Below are 19,850 nucleotides of genomic sequence, written 5' to 3'. Positions count from 1 at the left end.
ATCATAGCTCACTGTAGCCTCCAACTCCTGGGCTCAAGCGATCTTCCCGCCTCAGCCTCCCAAGTAGCTAGGACTACAGGTACACGCCACCAAGCCCAGCCAATTTTTAAATTTTTTGTAGAAATGGGTCTCACTGTGTTGTCCAGGCTGATCTCAAACTCCTGGCCTCATGATTCTCCCATCTTGGCCTCCCAAAGTGTTGGGATTACAGGCGTGAGCCCCTGGATCTGGCCAGCTCCCTCATTTTTTGGTTACTCCAGTGTCGTTTTGTCATTTTACTCTTATTTTGTGGCGATTCACTCAACTTTCATCCTTCAGTCCCTTCTCTTGAGTTTTTCAGTTTTGCTAACAAGTTCTTAATTTCCAAGAACTCTTTTATATCTTCCTGTACTTGTTTCATGAATACAATATCTTATCTGAGGATAGTATTTTTTTTCTTCATCCCACATAATTCCATTTCCTCTAAGGTTGTTTTTTTTTGTTTGTTTGTTTGTTTGTTTGTTTGTTTTTGCCTTGGTCTTGGTTTTGCACATTAGAGGTTTTAACTTCAGGTGTCAGGTAATCACTGGGTGTCGACTGATGAAGCCTGGGAAATGTAAAAGTCCAGATCAAATGGGTGAGAGTGCGGTCTTTTGAGTCTTTTGAGTTTCACTGTAGGATGGTCTGGCTGGGCTGTTCACTGGGGAAGCACAGCAGTGCTCTCTTTAGGTCTTCAGAGATTTGCCAGATTACCCCAAGGGGCCCTTCCTATGTGATGGGAAGGATCGGCCTGGCCGCATCTTGGAGCCCAGTAGGGGAAGAAGGCTAGGACTCTTTGCACTCAGCGTTCAGCATGACAGCATATGGTCACTTCATCCTTTTGTTTTCAGTGTGGCGCCCATTCTCTGGATCCATGCTGGCATCCCCTAGTTCCAAACCTCACTTATACTCTCTAGAGAATAACCTCCTAGCTTCGGCCATGTTGAGGAAAAGGCTGTAGCTCTGTAGTTTGGAAACTAGGAATGGGTTTCTCACCCAGCTTTTACCCATTCCATACTTAAGCCTCCCCTCCACCCCAACTTCCATGGGGTAACAATGCCACAGTTCTATGTATTTAAAGATTCTTAGCATTTTCTTCTGCTGGTTTTGGGTGTGGTATTCTCAGGTCTGCTAAGGAATTTGCCACTGGTCTCTCTCCTTTTCAACTTCTAAAATGATTTTGTGGTTGTTGCCCCTCTGCTTTCCCTGTATTTCTAAATTAATGTCCTTTTAAAAGAAATTCTTTTACTATATTTACTGTTTTGTAGTAGGATTTTAATAGAGGAGCAAAATTAAGTTTATGTATCAATCTGTGATTTCTTAACCCCAAAGTAAGGTTTTTCTTTGCTATTATTTTACTGTCATTTATTGGAGTCTTGAATGGCCTAAAATGTATACCTTATTCCTTCTAACAGCAGCATCCCCTTCTAATTTTTGGGTGTGTTGGCCAGGCTTTAATTAGAGAGGAAGAACCAGTGTATTTCATATATATACAAATTTGTTAAAGGAATTGGCTTGCAAGATTGTGGGTGCTGGCTAAGCAAGTCCAGAATCAGGGAGGTCATGGGCACAGACCACAACTGTTGTCTATGGGCAGTCAGGAGGGAAGTGAATGAGCAGAATGGAACTCCACAGGCACAAGTACAGCAGACGCCACTGCCTGTGGGTGGAATTTCTTTTCTTTTTCAGGGAAGCTTCAACTTTTAAGGCCTTTTTAGGCTTCTGCTTTTAAAGCTTTTCAACTGATTGAATCGGGCTCACCCAGATCTTTCAGGATACTCTTTTTTTTTTTTTTGAGACGGAGTCTCGCTCTGTTGCTCAGGCTGGAGTGCAGAGATTTGGCTCACTGCAAGCTCTGCCTCCCAGGTTCATGCCATTCTCCTGCCTCAGCCTCCCAAGTAGCTGGGACTACAGACACCTGCCACCACGCCCGGCTAATTTTTTGTATTTTTCAGTAGAGACGGGTTTCACCGTGTTAGCCAGGATGGTCTCGGTCTCCTGACCTCATGATCCACCCATTTCAGCCTCCCAAAGTGCTGGGATTACAGGTGTGAGCCACCACACCCGGTCCAGGATACTCTTAATATTCATCACATCTGCAAAATACCTTCACAGCAGCACCTAGCTTACATAACTAGGGACTGTCACTGAGCCAACTTGACATGCACACACACACACACATACACACACATCATCACAGTGGGTTTACCAGTAAATTTCTTCACTAGTTTCCCATAACTGAGCATTTGGATTACATTCTTGTTGTTACTGTTATTTGTGTTTATAGACTTATTTAACATTATACTTACAGAAGCTTCTGTGGGGAGTTTTTAGTTTATAGATAAGGATATCAGGACCGTCAATTACAGTAAACTGCCTGAGCTGTTCTCTTATGCTGTGTACCATTAAGAATAAAAGAAAATTTGTTTTTTTCTGAATTGCTGTCACAGATGGGATGTGCTGTGAGGAAGCTTAGGAACATGTAAGCTACTTTAACATACTCTCACTTAAGTCATTTAAAGATGGGCAGAGGTGCTGAGAACTAAGTAAATATGACAATAAGAAGTGGGAATGGCAGGGCCTTAGATGCCCACCTGCAGACTAGAGTGCTGTGTGGGGCCAGGCTGTGCCCCGAGCACATGTAGGGTGTGTGGCCGGTATCTGACACACATCTTAGAACACAGAGTGGAACAGAACAGAATCAAAAAGTTGCTTCACCTTCAGCAACAATACATGCTGGTGTTGCTTTTCCATAGAAATAAAAAGTGATAAATCTAAAATTACATGATATTTTGCTGTAAATAACAGCTCATTTTTATTAAGGTTATCTGCTAATAATAGAATGAAGATAAAATACATTTAACCTTTGTATTTTACAAGTTTTAAGTTTTTCTTGATGCTTGGTAACCAGTTTTTGCATTTTTGTGTTTGAGATATATTAAATATTTACTTTTGTTAATATATTGTATAATTTCTAAATAGTTCCTCTTGTTCTTAAAAACCAATGTACTTTTTCAAATTGCATTTTTCATAACACCCTAAATACTTATTACTTAGTAAAAATACTAAATATTTTTAAGGGCTACAAGATTTGGACTCAGCAGTTGATTCCAGGAGGCTGCTGCTTGAGGGAATCTTCATTTGTGATGAACACAATTGTTTGTTTAAAACCAAAAATCTCAAGAGTTGAATCTGAAAGATGTGTGTCCATGTACATATCCTTGAAGATCAGAAGGCAGGTTCCTTATTTCAGGTTAAAGCACAGATAATTGGCCCTTAGAAATGGAACCAATCAAAATGTCTACAAATGCAGAAGACCATGAGAGGGAATCCTACCAGGAGAACACCTTTGGGTCCCCTCAGGCTCCTCACTCCAGTTACCCCAACAATTGGAGAAGAAAGGCCCAGGTATTGGGGAACAATGCCAAAGCAATGCTTGATCCTGGCTGGAGCCAGTTCTTCTGTCCTGTACCACTGGGCTTGATTTTCCTGTGTGGTGTAATAGATGGATTATATGGTACTGTCAATGTCGTTAGTATTAAGAGGTTGGAGTTACCACTTATAACCCAACTCCCTGGTCAGCAAAATCCTGTGCAATATCTACGCTGCCTGGGAACGGAGCTCAGGATGACAAGCCAACTGCAGATGAAGTTGTGTCAATATCCAAATGTGTTCCTGATGATACATTCTTCTGTGCTGTTGTTGGATCTGCAGAAGATCATTGCCAATGCTGATCAGGTTCAGAGAGGTTTAAAGCCTTCATGCTGTCTATTCACAAGTGGGAACTGACTCAGTCTCTTAATCACAGCTCTGCCGCACCTGTTGATTAGGTCAGTGTGCAGCCTTGGGCTGATCTGTCATAATGGCATCATTATGACATCATTCTAGAACCCAGGTACAGAACTAGCTGAGCAGTCAAGATGGTGGCCGCACATGCCCAGGTGACAAAAGCCAACACAGACCAGTGTATGGATGGGACAACTGTAATCCCTATAGGCAGCAGCAGAGATCCAGCCATTCCTGGCTGCAGTGAAAGAGGTTAAAAAGGCTCTCGGAAAGTTTGACCTGTGCCCAGATGCCACCTGGTACCCCACGAGGATTAAACTGTCATCCAAGATGTTTCGTAGTCATTCCACAGCAGCCAGTTGGTGGAACAAGAAACGCACAACATCATGTGCTGGGCTTAAAGCCCTGGAAAGGAGAGCAGGAACTATAATCACGATACTTTGTGCTTGTCACTGCATCAGCCTGCATGGTCAGGCATGTGGGCATCCCCTAGGGGACACAGTGCCCTCAAGCTTATTAGATAGCTAGATATGACAACTGAACCATTCTGTGGGGGATGAATTCAGGGATGAAAAACAGAGGCCCACAGAGGGCATGGTGCATGTCCCCACAGTGGGGAGCCAGCCCGTCTGTGGGAACTGCTGGCAGAAAACATTCCTCTTCCAAAACTGCGGGCCTCAGATGACCCCCAGGACCAGGTGGAGGCCTGACTTCTTGATTGCATGAAGGATCTCGCAGGCCACACCTCCGAGCCGGGTTGACACAGGTGAATAAAGGACTGGATGATTTCAGTGGGTGGGACTGAAAACCTCTTTGGCTTGGAAGATCGCTCTCTGGAAGGATTTGGTGATCAGACCTTCCTGGGGCATTTTTTTTTCCCAAAAGTAGAAGGGATATAAAAAGATTTACACTGAGAGCCCCTGTGCCCGGCCCGCAGTGGCAGTGTGCCTGCGGCAGGTGGCCACTCGGGTGTTTATGTCGGGTCGCGGGGTGTCACGGCAGCCTGGCAGACTACCTGATCAGCAGCGGCACCAGCTACGTGCCCGAGGACGGGCTCACCGCGCAGCAGCTCTTCACCAGCACCAACGGCCTCACCTACAATGACTTCCTGATTCTCCCAGGATTCATAGACTTCATAGCTGATGATGAGGTGGACCTGACCTCAGCCCTGACCCACAAGGGCTGAAGACGCCGCTGATCTCCTCCCCTGTGGACACTGACAGAGGCTGACATGGCAATCGGGATGGCTCTGATGGGAGGTATTGGTTTCATTCACCACAACTGCACCCCAGAGTTCGAGGCCAATGAGGTGCTGAAGGTCAAGAAGTTTGAACAGGGCTTCATCACGGACCCTGTGGTGCTGAGCCCCTTGCACACCGTGGGTGATGTGCTTGGAGGCCAAGATGCTGCATGGCTTCTCTGGTATCCCCCTCACTGAGACGGGCACCATGGGCAGCAAGCTGGTGGGCATCATCACCTCCCGAGACGTCGACTTTCTTGCTAAGAAGGAGCACGCCACCTTCATCAGTGAGGTGATGACGCCAAGGATGGAACTGGTGGTGGCTGACGTTGAAAGGTGTGACGTTGAAAGAGGCAAATGAGATCCTGCAGCGTAACAAGAAAGGGAAGCTGCCTATCGTCAGTGATCGCGATGAGCTGGTGGCCATCATTGCCCGCACTGACCTGAAGAAGAATCGAGACTACCCTCTGGCCTCCAAGGATTCCCACAAACAGCTGCTGTGCAGGGCAGCTGTGGGCACCCGTGAGGATGACGAATGCCACCTGGACCTGCTCACCCAGGCGGGTGTCAATGTTGTAGTCTTGGACTCATCCCAAGGGAGCTCGGTGTATCAGATCACCATGGTGCATTACATCAAACAGAAGTACCCCCACCTCCAGGTGATTGGGGGGAACGTGGTGACAGCAGCCCAGGCCAAGAACCTGATGGACGCTCGTGTGGACGGGCTGCATGTGGGCATGGGCTACGGCTCCATCTGCATTACCCAGAAAGTGATGGCCTGCGGTTGGCCCCAGGGCACTGCTGTGTACAAGGTGGCCAAGTATGCCCAGTGCTTTGGTGTGCCCATCATAGTCGATGGTGGCATCCAGACTGTGGGGCACGTGGTCAAGGCCCTGGCCCTTGGAGCCTCCACAGTGATGATGGGCTCCTGCTGGCCACCACCACGGAGGCACCTGGTGAGTACTTCTTCTTAGAAAGGGTGCAGCTCAAGAAGTACCAGGGCATGGGCTCACTGGATGCCATGGAGAAGAGCAGCAGCAGCCAGAAACGATACTTCAGCAAGGGGGATAAGGTGAAGATCGCACAGGGTGTCTCGGGCTCCATCCAGGACAAAGGGTCCATTCAGAAGTTCGTGCCCTACCTCATAGCGGGCATCCAGCACAGCTGCCAGGATATCGGGGCCCGCAGCCTGTCTGTCCTTTGGTCCATGATGTACTCAGGGGAGCTCAAGTTTGAGAAGCAGACCATGTCGGCCCAGATCAAGGGTGGTGTCCATGGCCTGCACTCGTATGAGAAGCAGCTGTGATGAGGACAGCGGTGGAGGCTGAGGTGGTGGAGGGGGTGCACCCCAGTGTCCACCTTGGGGCACAGTCTCCCTCCATCACTGAGTGGTACACAGATTTGCACTATGGGTTCCCCAGCTCCTTTCCAGGGAGAGAAGAGGGGAGGTCCTGAGGGGTCTGCGGCCCCTTGCTTGGCATCCCCTGCAGAGTCAGGACTGCTTCCTGGGCCAGGCTGCCCTGGGAGCCCCCCCTGCTCAGCTAGCTGGGCTCTCAGGCCCTGCACCTGCCTCAGGTCTTTCTTGCTGCAGCCTGCTGCAGCCTCCTTCAGCCTGGCCCCCACCCCAGGGGCAGGCAACCCCTCCTGGCTTCTTCTCTAGGGCAGCTTCCTGCCCCCAGACCCCCAGGAAATGGTGCTGTCCTGGCCCTGCCTCTGGCCCTTCCAGGGTCCTGTCCCCTCAGCCATGTGGCACTTCTGAGCTCCTGACCTAGGCCAAGGGGAGGTCTCTGCCCCCTTCCCCGGCCCTGGGCTACCCTTGGGTCCTGCTCCTCAGGCTACTCCCCTGTTCCTGGCCCTGGGGAGGAAGCTGCCCTGGTCATGGCTACCTGCCTGTCATTCCTGACTCACCACCGTCCCGAGGTGTACCATTCCTGCCCTCTTCCTCAGCTGCAGTTGAAGGCTTTAACTTTGCACTCTTTGGGATCACAGTTGCGTCAGTGTGTATTAAATAATCAGAATAAATCAAGCAGGTTTCAATGCCTCCAAATATATATCTATATCTATATAGATATATATATAGATATCAGTCTCATGCCACTCTTCATCCCAAAAAGTAACACTATTTTTATGCATTTCTAAATCCCTACTGCTGCTTTCTGCAGATACCAGCTAAATCAAATGTGAATTCATGTTCCCTCCTTCACACCCAGAAGGTAGCATACATAAATGTTCAGTATCTTAATTTTTTTCCACATAACACAGAAAACAGGTGCCGTGACCCTACTGCAGTCACTGCTGTGGTGGCAAATGGACTCGTTAGAGGAGGGGAGTCCGAAAGTGCAGAACTGCCAGGCAAGGAGCCTAGAGGCAGGAGAACGCAAGTCCATGTCAGTAGGGGGAGGGTTCAAAGTGCATCCTGGGGAGCCTGCTTCCCTGGCAAAGGTGCTACCAAAATGCTAACCAGTCCTCGAGAAAGACACAGAAGACTGGGAGAGGGGTGTGTGTATATGGGGTGGGGGTGGGGGAGCCCTGGGGCTATGGGAGCTCTTAGCAGAAGAGTTGCAGCCCCTGTCCTGGGAATCACATGTAGTGATTCCTGAGTGTAGAACAGCCATTGTGTATCCTGGGGTCACAGGGAACAGAGATCTTCTCCCGAAACTGGACAAGGAAGAGTGCCTGTCTGGGCTCACCCCCTTGATGCTTGTGTGATATTTTGAGCTTGAAGTGTTGGATGAGACCTTGAGACCTGAAGGGAAGGGAGGAGCTTGGAGGGAGGAACACCAAGTATGTCAAACGTCCTGGGAAGTGAAGAAAGAAATGTATATTGGCCGCCACCAAGAAGAATATGGAAGGGAGTTTCCCCTGAGGACTAGGAGTTGTCGGTGGTCCTCCAGTACGGTGGGTGGAGATGCTGCCTTCGGGATTCACTATGGGTGATGACTGGATGGGACCAGAAAGATAAAAGGGCTGGACCTCTGTGGTCTTGTGCAGTGTGCACCACCGTGGGAATGGGCTCTAATTGCAAAACACCTGCAATGTGCCAGACATTATACTGGGTGACTTTCCTATGCTTTTATATGTTTGCCCAGGGTTAAGGTCCTTTATTCTTTTTTTTTTTTTTAATGGTCAGTATTTCATTGTGGCATTCTTTTATTCAAATTAAAATTAAACTTATTTTTATGGAGATCAACGTAATTAACTACATGTCTAATATAAAGAGCAATAAACCTTGTTATTTTAAAACCACACAACATTATTTTGATATTTTGAGCCAAACATGCAAAACTTGACTTAAAATTGCATATTTGATGCATTTAAGATAAATTCTAAATGAAAATCTAAATCATGCTTTTATTGTAAATATTAATATAGGCACATGGAAAACATCCAAGCAGTATAAGCAAGGCATGAAGTAAAAAGTCTGAGTCCATCGACAGTGTAAAGGGTCTGACTATTACCACCTTAACTGTGATCACACTTCACTTCAGTAATAATTATAGACCACCCAAATGAAAATGAGCAGCAGCTACTTATTCTCAGTGTGGTATATACACAGAGAGTCAGCCACAGTCACTTGCCATTGCAGACACTCAAAGGCAGTCAGCGGAGTGAGAAAGCTTTATGCTGGGAAAAGGGGAGGCTTCAGGTGAGCCTTGATCAAAGGCTGTTGGCATCTGGAGGCTGTGGGTGAGCTAACTAGAAGCAGGGTATCCTATGTGATTGGTTAGGGAAGCATATTTGGCCTTCTCTGGTTGGTCCTACTAAAGGATTTTCAAAACAGAGGCAAGAATTAGGGAAGCTGGCAGGTACTGATCAAGTCCGGGCCATTTGGGACCAAAGGCTACAGGGGTTGTTTGGCTTCCTGGACTGGTTACTGCAGACTGTGGGTCAGAGTTCTGTTTTTGTATATGATCTGCCCATGGTCTGTATATTCTAGTAGATCCCATAATGAAACCACCAGATATGAGTTACAACATGAAGTAAGTAAGTACACAGTGTCAACTGGAATGTGTTCTTGCCAAAAATCCTCCACCTGGGTCTTATCAAGGCTTTAAATCCAACTGCTGGTTTATAGGAAGTTTAGGGAATGAAGACACAATCAGGCAAATCTAAAATGAAGGATATTCTATAAGACAATGACCTGGTCTCTTCAATGCTATGGATTTAAAAAGGGCTGGGGAAGGAGGGCTGGTGGGAGGACTGTTTTAGATTGAAAGAATGTTGAGACTTGAATAACCAAATAAAATAAACATTGAAACAGGCCCAGTTTTCTCATAAAACTGAAGCTTGGGCCGGGCGCGGTGGCTCAAGCCTGTAATTCTAGCACTTTAGGAGGCCAAGGTGGGTGGATCACCTGAGGTCAGGAGTTCGAGACCAGCCTGGCCCACATGGCAAAACCCCGCCTCTACTGAAAATACAAAAATTAGCCAGGCGTGGTGGCATACACCTGTAATCCCAGCTACTTGGGAGGCTGAGGCAGGAGAATCACTTGAATCTGGGAGGTGGAGGTTGCAGTGAGCCAAGATGGTGCCACTTCACTCCAGCCTGGGTGAAAGAATGAAACTGTTGTCTTGAAAAAACAAAGTGCTCACTTCAGCAGCACATATTCTAAAATTGGAACGATACAGAGAAGATTAGCATGGCCCCTGTAAGGATGACACTCAAATTAGTGAAGGATTCCATATTTTAAAAAAAACAAAAACCTTGAAGCTTGGAAAACTTACATTTGTCTTATCTGAGTTCCTTTCTTGGGAAACCAACCATCGGGCCTCCTGAATGATACCGGGAACTGAGACTTTCCAGATCACTGCCACTGGACAGTGAGGTGCACCTGCTCCTTGTTGACCAACTTCTTATCCCTGCCTCATTCCTGTTTTCCCACATGTGGTTACAATGAGATGCTGGAACCCCTTATACTACCGCCTGCTGCCTATTGACCAACTCCTCGTCCCTGCCCCTCTTCTTTTCCCTTAACTTTAGTTGGTGGGAAGGGACGTATTTGAGGCTGGTCTCCCTTCTCTCTGGCTGACATCACTCAAATAAAATCTTCTTCCCTGGCAATACTTGTTGCCACAGTGATTGGCTTTCTGTGTGGTGAGCAACAGGACCTAGACCAAGCCCCTGGTGATCAGCAACAACATTTGGGAAACAATTGAGATTTTCATATGGACTCAATTATATGGTATTGGGGAATCACTTATTGTGTTAGGGTGTTAATGGCATCTTGTAGGGGAATATGTTGAGGCAAGGTAAACTCAACACTTTAAAGATGCAGCATCTGAAGTAATTTCCTCTGAAATGGCTCATTAAAAAAAATTTATAATGCAGTATGGCGAAATGTAGTCTTAGATCTAAGTGGTGAGTACATGGGTTTTCATGACAGAAAAACAGACTAGTCTGTGTTTGTACTTTTTGTAATCATGTTTAGAGGGGAGTCTATTGTGCTCTATCTTAAATTCCACTTAGTAACTACTGTTGCAGTTTAATGTCTATACGAGCAAAAAATAGTCTTGTATTCCCCTTTCATATTTTTTCCTAAACATAATTATAATCCACCTACTAGATTTTTTCCCTACCCAATGCCATGGAAATTTTCCTGTATCAGACCATGTGGATCTGCTGCATTCTTTTTTATGGCAACACACATAGTATTTATTTGGGAGAATGTACTCACTTATTGAGTATTGATAACTTCATTTTTTATAGTCTTTCCACTGTTAAAAGCATTATATTACTCTAGTCTCAAAGAAACAGTGAAGGAGGCATTGAAGGAAATAGGCTGGTTGTTTGCTGTAAGAGATAGAACGTAGGATGCTGACCAGGATGGTTGAGAAGGTGGTCAGCCCAGCCCAGAGCTGGTAATCGGAGGGGACTAGTGTCTGGAGAAGCAGCCAGGTGTGCTCATCCCTCAAGGGACACAGCATGGCCAAGGGAGGTGGGAGCCAGAGGAGAGGGGAAACTGACCATGACTAAGAGCCTCTCCTTAAACTCAGCCAGTTTCAGTGAAGGTCATGGTTTCTAAGGTTTAGCTGTGAGACATCCTCATTAGGTTTTTTAAAGGGAAGGCGAGGGTTAAAGAAAGGGAGTCGGCGGCTCTACAGCAATGCAGGTTCTATGTTCAGCATGAGACCTGCAGAGATGGGGGACCAGCTTAATGCCAGTGCTCACCACTGCTTACAGGCTGGGGCAATTATAACCCTGGGCAGGAGGGATCTTGGGGAGCATGTTGCCTGGGAAAAGGTTGATAACATGTTCCCACGATGAGGTGGTTTGGCCCTTGTTCTGGCTGAATGTGATGTTCTTTGTACTTTTTTACAGCAGAATGTAAGAAAGTCAGGTGGTTGGTCAGGCTGTTTCTCATGGCCCAAACCCCCATGGAATGTTTCACTTTAACCAAGATCTGTGAAATGCAGGGGTATGGGTGGAGGGTGTTTACAGAATGGTGCAGTTTGGACTAACAGTCCTTAGGGCAGGGGCAGCTGCCTTTCCAGCCACCTTATGTCTGCCTGGGCATGTGGACCCTTGGGGTTGTGTCTGTGCTGACTGGCTAATGCCATGGCTAGAGGCCTGAGATAGCCAGCCTGGCCAATTCCACCTCCAGCAGTCTGGCAGGGTTGCAGCAGCTGTTAGGGAAGGGCCAGATAGGGGGTGTGCATGGACCACACTGTGAACACATGCATGAGTGACTATGGCCCAGTCAGTGTCCTGCAGACAGGCATCTGTTCTGTTAGGACAATGACACAAATACTTCAAATGTCATCTCACAAGGGGCCCTATCATCCCTTACCCTCATCCCCCAGGGCAGTTAGGAAGGGGAGATGACCCATTTCCAAAGTGGGTACCGTTGACTGTGAGAGAGTTAGACTTCTTAAACAACCTTTTAAGGGCTTATTTTCAAGATTTTTTTTTTTTTAAAGAATTCAACCAGAAGTGATTGCTAGAAATAGGCAGGTGGCCTGGTGGCATGGGTGCATTTTCCAAATGTTTTGTCAACAAAGCTGCAGGGTCCTGCTACTTTTGTGTGTAGATCAGAGCCCAAACCAGGATCTTTGCTTGGAGGAGAACCTCCACAAAAGCCCCTCTTAGCTGTGTCCCTCCGCAAGATGAGTGGGCAGCCTTGCCCTGCGAGCTTGGACAAAACTAAAACTCCAAGCTCCCCGGAGACAGGGTGGTTCCGTGTGCATTCCTCCTCGGAGGCCAGCTTCCTCTGGATTTGTTCTTAGGCTTTTGCAGCTGAGGGCCACTGCAAAGAAAGGTTATCCAAGGAGATGACATGGCGGCGAGGGCTCTAGCTGGCCCTGTAGATGAGCCTAAAAGGCGAGATTAGAGCAGCTCAGTGTGCGTCCATGACCTCAGTGGGGATCTGAACCATCATGAAAACCATCCTATTTGTGGGCAAGAATGTCTGTTCTTGTTTGGGATCAGTGGGTCAGCAGCAACACCCTATGGAAGCAGCAGAAGCAATGGCAGCTTACAATTGTGGCTGGTTCTTAACTCTCGCCAAGAGAATGGAGAGGTTTGGCCTTTCCCCGGGGAAACAGGACTGAGCCACCTCTAGCGATTCTTGGGACAACTCAAGGGGACTAGGGTATTCCCAGGAGAGACACTGGGCCTGCTACTAATCTGGAAAGAAGGCCGAGAGTGAATTTAAATGAAATAGAAAATGCATTATCACCCTGAACACAAAAAGCAGCTCCTCTGCCCACACAGAGGTAGGATACAGGCGATCAGATTCCCCACGTTCCTGAGGCTGTCCTTTGGAGGACAGATCACAGGTTGAGTTACAAAACACATCCTACAGCAAATCCTGACGGCAAATCCAGAGACATTTTAGGAGGACAGTGTCACTGGCTTCAAATATCTGTGTGGGCGGAGGATTACCTAGGTGCTGAGGCAAGAGACTGAAGGCACAAACTGTTTCAGTATAATAAAGAAAATAGTTAGAATAAGAATAGTCATAATACAAATTAGATACAGAGATGATCATGAACAATTATCAATCATTATTATCAACATTAATCATTAGCTTTTAATATTACTCTTTGTTGCATTACTAATATAACCTAGGAATAACCGGTGGGTATAGGGTCAGGTGCTTAAGGGACATTGTGAGAAGTGATCTAGAAGGCAAGAGGTGAGCCTTCTGTCACGCCTGCATAAGGGCTGCTTGAGGGCTCCTTGGTCAAGTGGTAACGCCAGTGTCTGGGAAGGCACCGTTACTTAGCAGACCGTGAAAGGGAGTCTCCTTTCCTTAGAGGAGTCAGGGAACACTCTGCTCCACCAGCTTCTTGTGGAAGGCTGGATATTATCCAGGCCTGCCTTCAGTCATCCAGAGGCCTAAACCCCTCCCTGTGGTGCTGTGCTTCAATGGTCACACTCCTTGTCCACTTTCATGCTCCTCCCGTACTCCTGGTTCCTCTTTGAAGTTCGTAGTAGATAGCGGTAGAAGAAATAGTGAAAGTAAAGTCTTTGATCTTTCTTGTACGTGTGAACAGAAAACGCTGTCATATGCTGCCTTCTCTCTCTGCTTTGGCTACCTAAAAGGGAAGGGCCCGCCTATCCTGTAATCACGTGACTTGCTTCACCTTGTCAATCACTTAGAAGATTCACCCTCCTTACCCTGCCCCCTTGTCTTGTGTGCAATAAATATCAGCGAGCCCAGCTGTTCGGGGCCACTACCGGTCTCCATGTCTTGATGGTAGTGGTCCCCCGGGCCCAGCTGCTTTCTCTTTATCTCTTTGTCTTGTGCCTTCATTTATTACAATCTCTTGTCTCTGCACACGGGGAGAACACCCGCTAAGCCCCATAGGGCTGGACCCTACATATCTGGACGGCCATCAGAAGCAGGCCCAAGGAAAGACATTCCAGGAGGCAGATTTCTGATCAGTATGGAGAACAGCTTTCCTGCCACTGCACACATTCCTTGGTGCAAGCAGACCCCGGGCCGGGCAAGGCTGGTCCATGAATTGGCTGGGCCACAGGTCCCTGCCACTGCTTCCCTGACCCCAGTCCAATTCCTTGCTGGGTTTTCAGGTTGGAGCTCTACCTACACACGGAACTAATCTGAGGGAGTCACAAAGGGCCTCTGGTCTCCTTCCCCAGATGTTCCTTACTGGCCCTTTCGAGGTAGATAGCCCCTTACCCTGGATGTGAGGTCCTTCCCCTACTCTTTTTGCCCTGCAATCCTGCTGCCCCCACTCCAGGGCAAGATTGCTTCCTGGGAAGGGAACCCAGGAGAAGGCAGAGTTCAAGCTCTCTTCATTGGCTCCTGGGAATATATGTTTGTGTCCATGAAGACAAGTTCTTCTGGGAGGAGGCCGAGGACTCCACCTAGGATAGCTGATGAGCACCTTCTTCTTAACGACGACAACTGAAAGGACTTCTTAATAAGGTCCTAATTACTTTTCTTAATGAGGCTACTTAAAAGCAGGAGAAACATCAGCGAAAAGGATTGGTGCATTTCTACCGGAGACTGCCTTCTTGAGAGCATCAGAATGACAGCTGGTGGCCTGGCTTCCTTAATAAACTACTGGTATGAAATCAGGGGGAATTCTGACCTCACTCCGGGTGCGTGTACTGAGTAAACTGAGATTTCTGTCTTGTATGGAGAGTGAAGGTATGGCTCTGAGCATAGAAATCCCTTCTGGGTGCCAGGAATGTCTTATTCAAGGGAGTTGGTGTTAAAAGGCTTCTGGCTGTGCCCCGGTGACGTGGACAGAGTCAGCCCGGTTCTTTGGGTCTCAATGTTCCCTTCTGTAAAGACAAGGCTTGGAGACTTTCCCTTGGGATAGGGGAAGGGAACACATGGAGACCCCCTAGGAGGGCAGTGAGCCTCACGTGGATTCTGTTTCTAGAGGAGCAAAGCTGCTTCCGGTTACCTCCTGGGTCAGGGCTGCTTGCCCTGTGATGGGGCAGCTGGCCCTCAATGTGATGATGATGACACCTCTTGGGCCGGACTGGGATGGGTTGAGTTGGGCTCACAGGGAAAGTTGTCCAGAGGTTGAACTATGTCTCAGAGTGTGGCCTGACCACAAAGAGTAGGGTCTGTCTGCAGCTGCTGCACCCCGACTGGGGCTGGGCCTTCCTCCTGGGTCCTGTACTCAGCTGGGGAGAATGGCAGCAGCACCAGCTCTCTCTTGCCTCTCCCCAGCACCTCATGGCATGAGGGCTGGGACCCCTGCTCCACTGGCTAGGTCCATGGGGCCGAAGGAGGGTCTAGTTTTGACTCCTGGCCTTTTTTTTTTTTTTTTTTTTATGATATAGAAAATATTTTTAAGAAATAAAAACCTTTCTCTGCCCTGGTTATACTGCCCAGCAAAAAATTCTTCCTGCCCCTTGATATGCTTTCAGTCAAACATATCTCTCTAAAAAACGCACAGCAGTGTGGCCTGAGCTTCAACTTTTAATTCTCATTGAAATTTGAATTTAAATCACAGAGATAGTATATGGTTGTTGTGTTCAAACAACACAGAAGAATATAGAGACTCTGGAAGGAAGTTCTGCTATCGCCTCCACCCCTCTCCTCCCCACTCTCCTCCCTTCTCTTTCTGGCCTGAGTATCAGGCGACATTGCTTTGAGAGGCCACAGTATGCAGTCTGGGTTGGAGGGCCAAGCCAACGACAGGAGGAGCATCACCTCAGAGAGACTCAGCGGCAGGCAAAGCGCGATAACCACAGAAGAGACAGGTCTGTGGTGACCTCCAAGGCCGAGGCAGCAGGTACCAGCCAGGACTATGCCTCTGCCATCCACACATTGACAGGGAAGAGCCAGTGCTGCCCATCTGCACTTCAGCTCCCATGGGCTTTCTCTTTCTGGCCTCAAAGGGAAGAAGGCGTCTTCAGCTCAGTCATAGCAAAGCCCCTGACTACACATGTGGAAACCTCAGTGGATCAGGCTCAGGAGGGAAGCTGCATGACCCCGTGGCTGGCGGCATTCAGCAGGGGCCACTTTAGCAGGAAAGAGCAGGGAAGCAACATAAGCTGAAGGGCGGGGACGTGTGAGCCATGAGATAGGTGGCTGCTGTCCGCGAGTCCATTCCAGGGTCTCCTAGGGGGCTGCCAGCCCTGTGGGCCGTGGGGGGATCATTCAGAGGTGCCTCGTGTCTCAGGTCTCTCTCATCTCCTCCCCACCACCGCATGAGTTGAACATGGACATTCAGAGCTGTGGTGTACGGAATATACTGCGTCGGGGAGCAGGTGTCACTCCCTTGTCTCTGGACCGACGCTGCTGGGCTGCCCTGGTTATGCAGCATCCATTTAACTTCTTTAGGGAGCACTGACAGTGTGCCAAGCTCTCTTCTGAGTGCTCAGAATACAGGTTATTGAATCAGACATGGGCCTTGCCCTCGAGATCCTGACAGCAATCTGGTGGTGCTGATGCTAGCGGGATGAGCTGTCACCTTCACTCACACAGCAGACGGCAACACAGCCTCTGCAGGGAGTGTGGAGTATGCACTTTGTTTAGTGATGAGCTCCTAGAGTCCTAAAACACAGAGTCCTTTATTTATGTCTTTGGCCCCACTGCCCCAACCTTTCACTGTGCCCACCATCTCTGGGCTTTTCAGCCTCCTGGTAATCCAAGAGACCCTCATTGGTTGTTTTTGAGCACAGGTAGCTTTTCCCCTCTGAATGGCCCTTTGAAAGGTAATCCCAACACCCGCCCTCACCAGTCCCCGTACAGGAGCCATGGCTCTAATAAACAATCAAGTGGCAATTATCCACTCAAGGATCATCTGTCTTGGGAATTAGTTTTTGTTGTGGTGGTTGTTTCAACTGACTTCTCAGATACTTTCTCTCCAACATGGTTGGTGAGTTATCAGAGAAGTGGGACTCATTTTACTATTGCCAATACTCGCTGCAAGAAAAAGAGAAGCAAAATAGTGAAGTGGAAAGAGCAGGAGCCAGGAGCCTGAGGACTTGTACCCTAGTCTTGATTCTGACGTGAGCTGGCTCACAGGCTTTTATCGTGGGCATTATTCCCATCACCTGTGAGCTTGAGGTTGCAAACCAGTGTGTATTATTTGTGGGAGCACGTGGTGTATTTTAAGTATAAACAATGCATGGGAGCTATAAGGAACTTAGGGACTGCTCTCAAGGAGGCAAGAAATAGGATACAGGAAGGGAAAACAGTCCTTCGGTTCTAATTCTGCTGCGTGAGAGGAACAGTTTGTATCACAGAGCGGCGTAACTTGTAGCTGGAAGGAGCAAGGAGAAAATGTAGGCCAAGGGGTAGATTGTTTAAATGGATTAATTCTTGGACTGTGCACTCAGCTTTAGCAGGGCTGTATCAGTGGGACTCCTGTGAGGCCTGGCTTGTGGATGGGTCCTGTAGACATTTGTGATTTGCTTATGCAAGGTCACTGAGGGATAGTATAGGCTTAGAGACAATTTTTTGAGTTCCCAAAATAAAAGGACAGTGTATATTTGAACTTCAGAACCCCTGAGAATCCTAGACATTGGTTAATCCTCCCAGCTCAGCCTCTTGAGTAGCTGGAACTACTCAAGTATCATGTCACACCATGCCTGGCTAATTAAAAAAATTTTTTTTTTGCAGAGATACGGTTTTGCTATGTTGCCCAGGCTGGTCTTAAGCTCCTGGCCTCAAGCAGTCCTCCCGCCTCAATCTCCCAAGGTGCTGTGTTGCTCCTAGATAATCCCAAATTTATGTATCTGTGTGAGGGGTTTCTTAGTTCCAACAACCCATAGGCAAGGCCAAAGGTTTCTGTCACTTTTCCCTGTGTATTTCCTAAAACAGCCCCATCCTACCATACCCTTCCACCTTCAAGGCAGCTACAGCAGGCACTTATGCTTCATTCTCCAGAGTTCTGTCCCCTTGGCCTTCTGACTCCTGGGGGTTTCCATTACCTTCCTGTGAGCTCAGCTATGCATTAAAATTATGTTTTATAAATTGCACCCAACATTTTCTAGGCATTTTGTTGCAGAAAGCCCTTCAGGTTGTCTTGTCTGCCCTGGTGCCAGAAGAGAAGCCTCATGAACATCAGCAGCATCTGACTTTTTACAAAGGAATCTGAGCTAGGAGAGTAAAATAGTAGGATTTGCTAGAGCTACATACACAGTGTAAGGATGCTCAGTCTCCAAATTGTTCAGTTTGTGGAAATAGCTTCTAATAAACAAAAGGATCTTACTTTGTATCTGTGGTCCTTTTTTTGTTTCTCATTGAGAATAGCTTTAAGTGTTTGAGCAATTTTCCATCTTGCATCGGGGAAGGTAGGATTCTTTAGGGTGAGAACTTTTCAGCAGTCAGGACAAGAAGCTTACCTTGGTTGATCCTGGTTAATTGAAAGTGACAGACAAAGCCTCTCAGACTTCCCCCCCTCATCTCAGGCTGGATGCTGGTGAGCTTATTCAGCACTGGTTACAGCAAGTCCTGTTCCATTGACCAACCAGCTCTCTTGCCACATGGGCCATCTGTCCATTAATATGGGGTGTGACCATTTATGGAAATGACTACAAACCCTCATCCTACTCACAGCCTCAACATCTATTGTATCTTGGTGGCCAAGTAGGAATAAGTAGCAAAGTTAATTTCATTGTGACTGTATTCTTTTTTTTGGTCCTCCCTGTCTTCACTTTATTCATATAAGTAAAGAAAACTCCTATTAAAGGCAAAACAAACAAAAAACAGGCAGCCAAGGAGTTTGAGAGTAATGTAGTTTCATAAACAGCACCTTCAGATATGTATGATCTCCCGTGATTTGCGGGTATACCACAAACAGTTTTTTCTTAAAAGTATGGGACACACAGTTTGATGTCAAATTACTGAGAGGAAGATCAAACCCTGCAGATTTCAGATTTCAGATTTCCCTTGATAGTGGCTGTTTTACTCTGACATGCCTAAAATTAACATATGTCACATTTAAAAATGTATTACACATATTCACGTAAGCTTAAGAAAGGGTATCATGAAACAAGGAAATTGAAACACACGTCAGTGATAGAAGTTAAAGAAACATGCATGAGGTCAACTCTATACGATTCTGCAAAAAACAGCTCTAGGCAGTTCACTGCTACGTAAACAAGAAGTTGGAAGTTGGGGGTTCAGCTTCACTTGAAAATCGTGGAGTTGTCACCCATTCCTCTCTCAACCCTGTACCCTTATCTTCCACCTCGACTCTTGTTTCCCTTTCTTTAGTTTCTGACACTGGCTTCTTGGCTTCAGCCATTCTCAACAGAGGGAACAGCATGAGAAAAGTCAGTTGAGCTTCCCCATGGGGTTACATCTCCTCCACCTCCTAGGAAACATCCTCCCTATTTTTTTGTAGCTGCCATTTTTGGAAGGCAGCTTCCTCTACACCCCTCCACTTATGCAAACTGCTCGTCTTCACAGGTTCAGATCTAGTTCTCCCTTCTCCAGGATCCGGGAGTTTCCCTCCAATTTCATGAACGGCATCATATTTATTGTCTGTACAACTCATTTTACTCAGGGGGCAGAGGGCAGTTGTAACCTCTATGGACATTGTTCTCTTCAGACAAGCCTGCCATTTGGAGAGGGATACAGTGGATGGGGGATACACATGGTGAGTCAGCTGAGTCTAATACTCTTTGGAAACCAGTAGGTGACAGACGCCACAGCCAACTCTTCCCCCACATTTAGGTCGCTCATTCTTGTACACAATAGACCCTGCCTTACTTCACTCATTTCACCTCCATCTCTTCTCTCTTGAGATCCTAAATTTAACTCACTGAAGGGAGGGACCACTTCATCTGTTACATCCCTTTTGACATGCAACACAGGGCTGATTTTTCCAGAGGTTACCAGCCAAATTCCTATGGCATGAATGAATAA

General features: G+C 47.3%; 2 pseudogenes, besides 1 other annotated feature; both read left to right on the top strand.

The window, feature by feature from the left end:
- Positions 4,761–7,089, top strand: IMPDH1P5 (inosine monophosphate dehydrogenase 1 pseudogene 5; annotated as a pseudogene).
- Positions 9,629–9,732, top strand: RNU6-1266P (RNA, U6 small nuclear 1266, pseudogene; annotated as a pseudogene).
- Positions 15,452–15,951: an enhancer, noted in NCBI's record as "H3K4me1 hESC enhancer chr10:79530491-79530990 (GRCh37/hg19 assembly coordinates)". NCBI's record gives its function as "activates a minimal SCP1, AML or CMV promoter by ChIP-STARR-seq in naive H9 embryonic stem cells {active_cell/tissue: H9 hESC(naive)}" and the evidence as "EXISTENCE:reporter gene assay evidence [ECO:0000049][PMID:30033119]".

The sequence above is a fragment of the Homo sapiens genome, chromosome 10, assembly GCF_000001405.40.
Source record: "Homo sapiens chromosome 10, GRCh38.p14 Primary Assembly".
In the NCBI taxonomy this organism is placed as follows: domain Eukaryota; kingdom Metazoa; phylum Chordata; class Mammalia; order Primates; family Hominidae; genus Homo; species Homo sapiens.
This window is presented reverse-complemented; position numbering and strand designations above follow the sequence as displayed.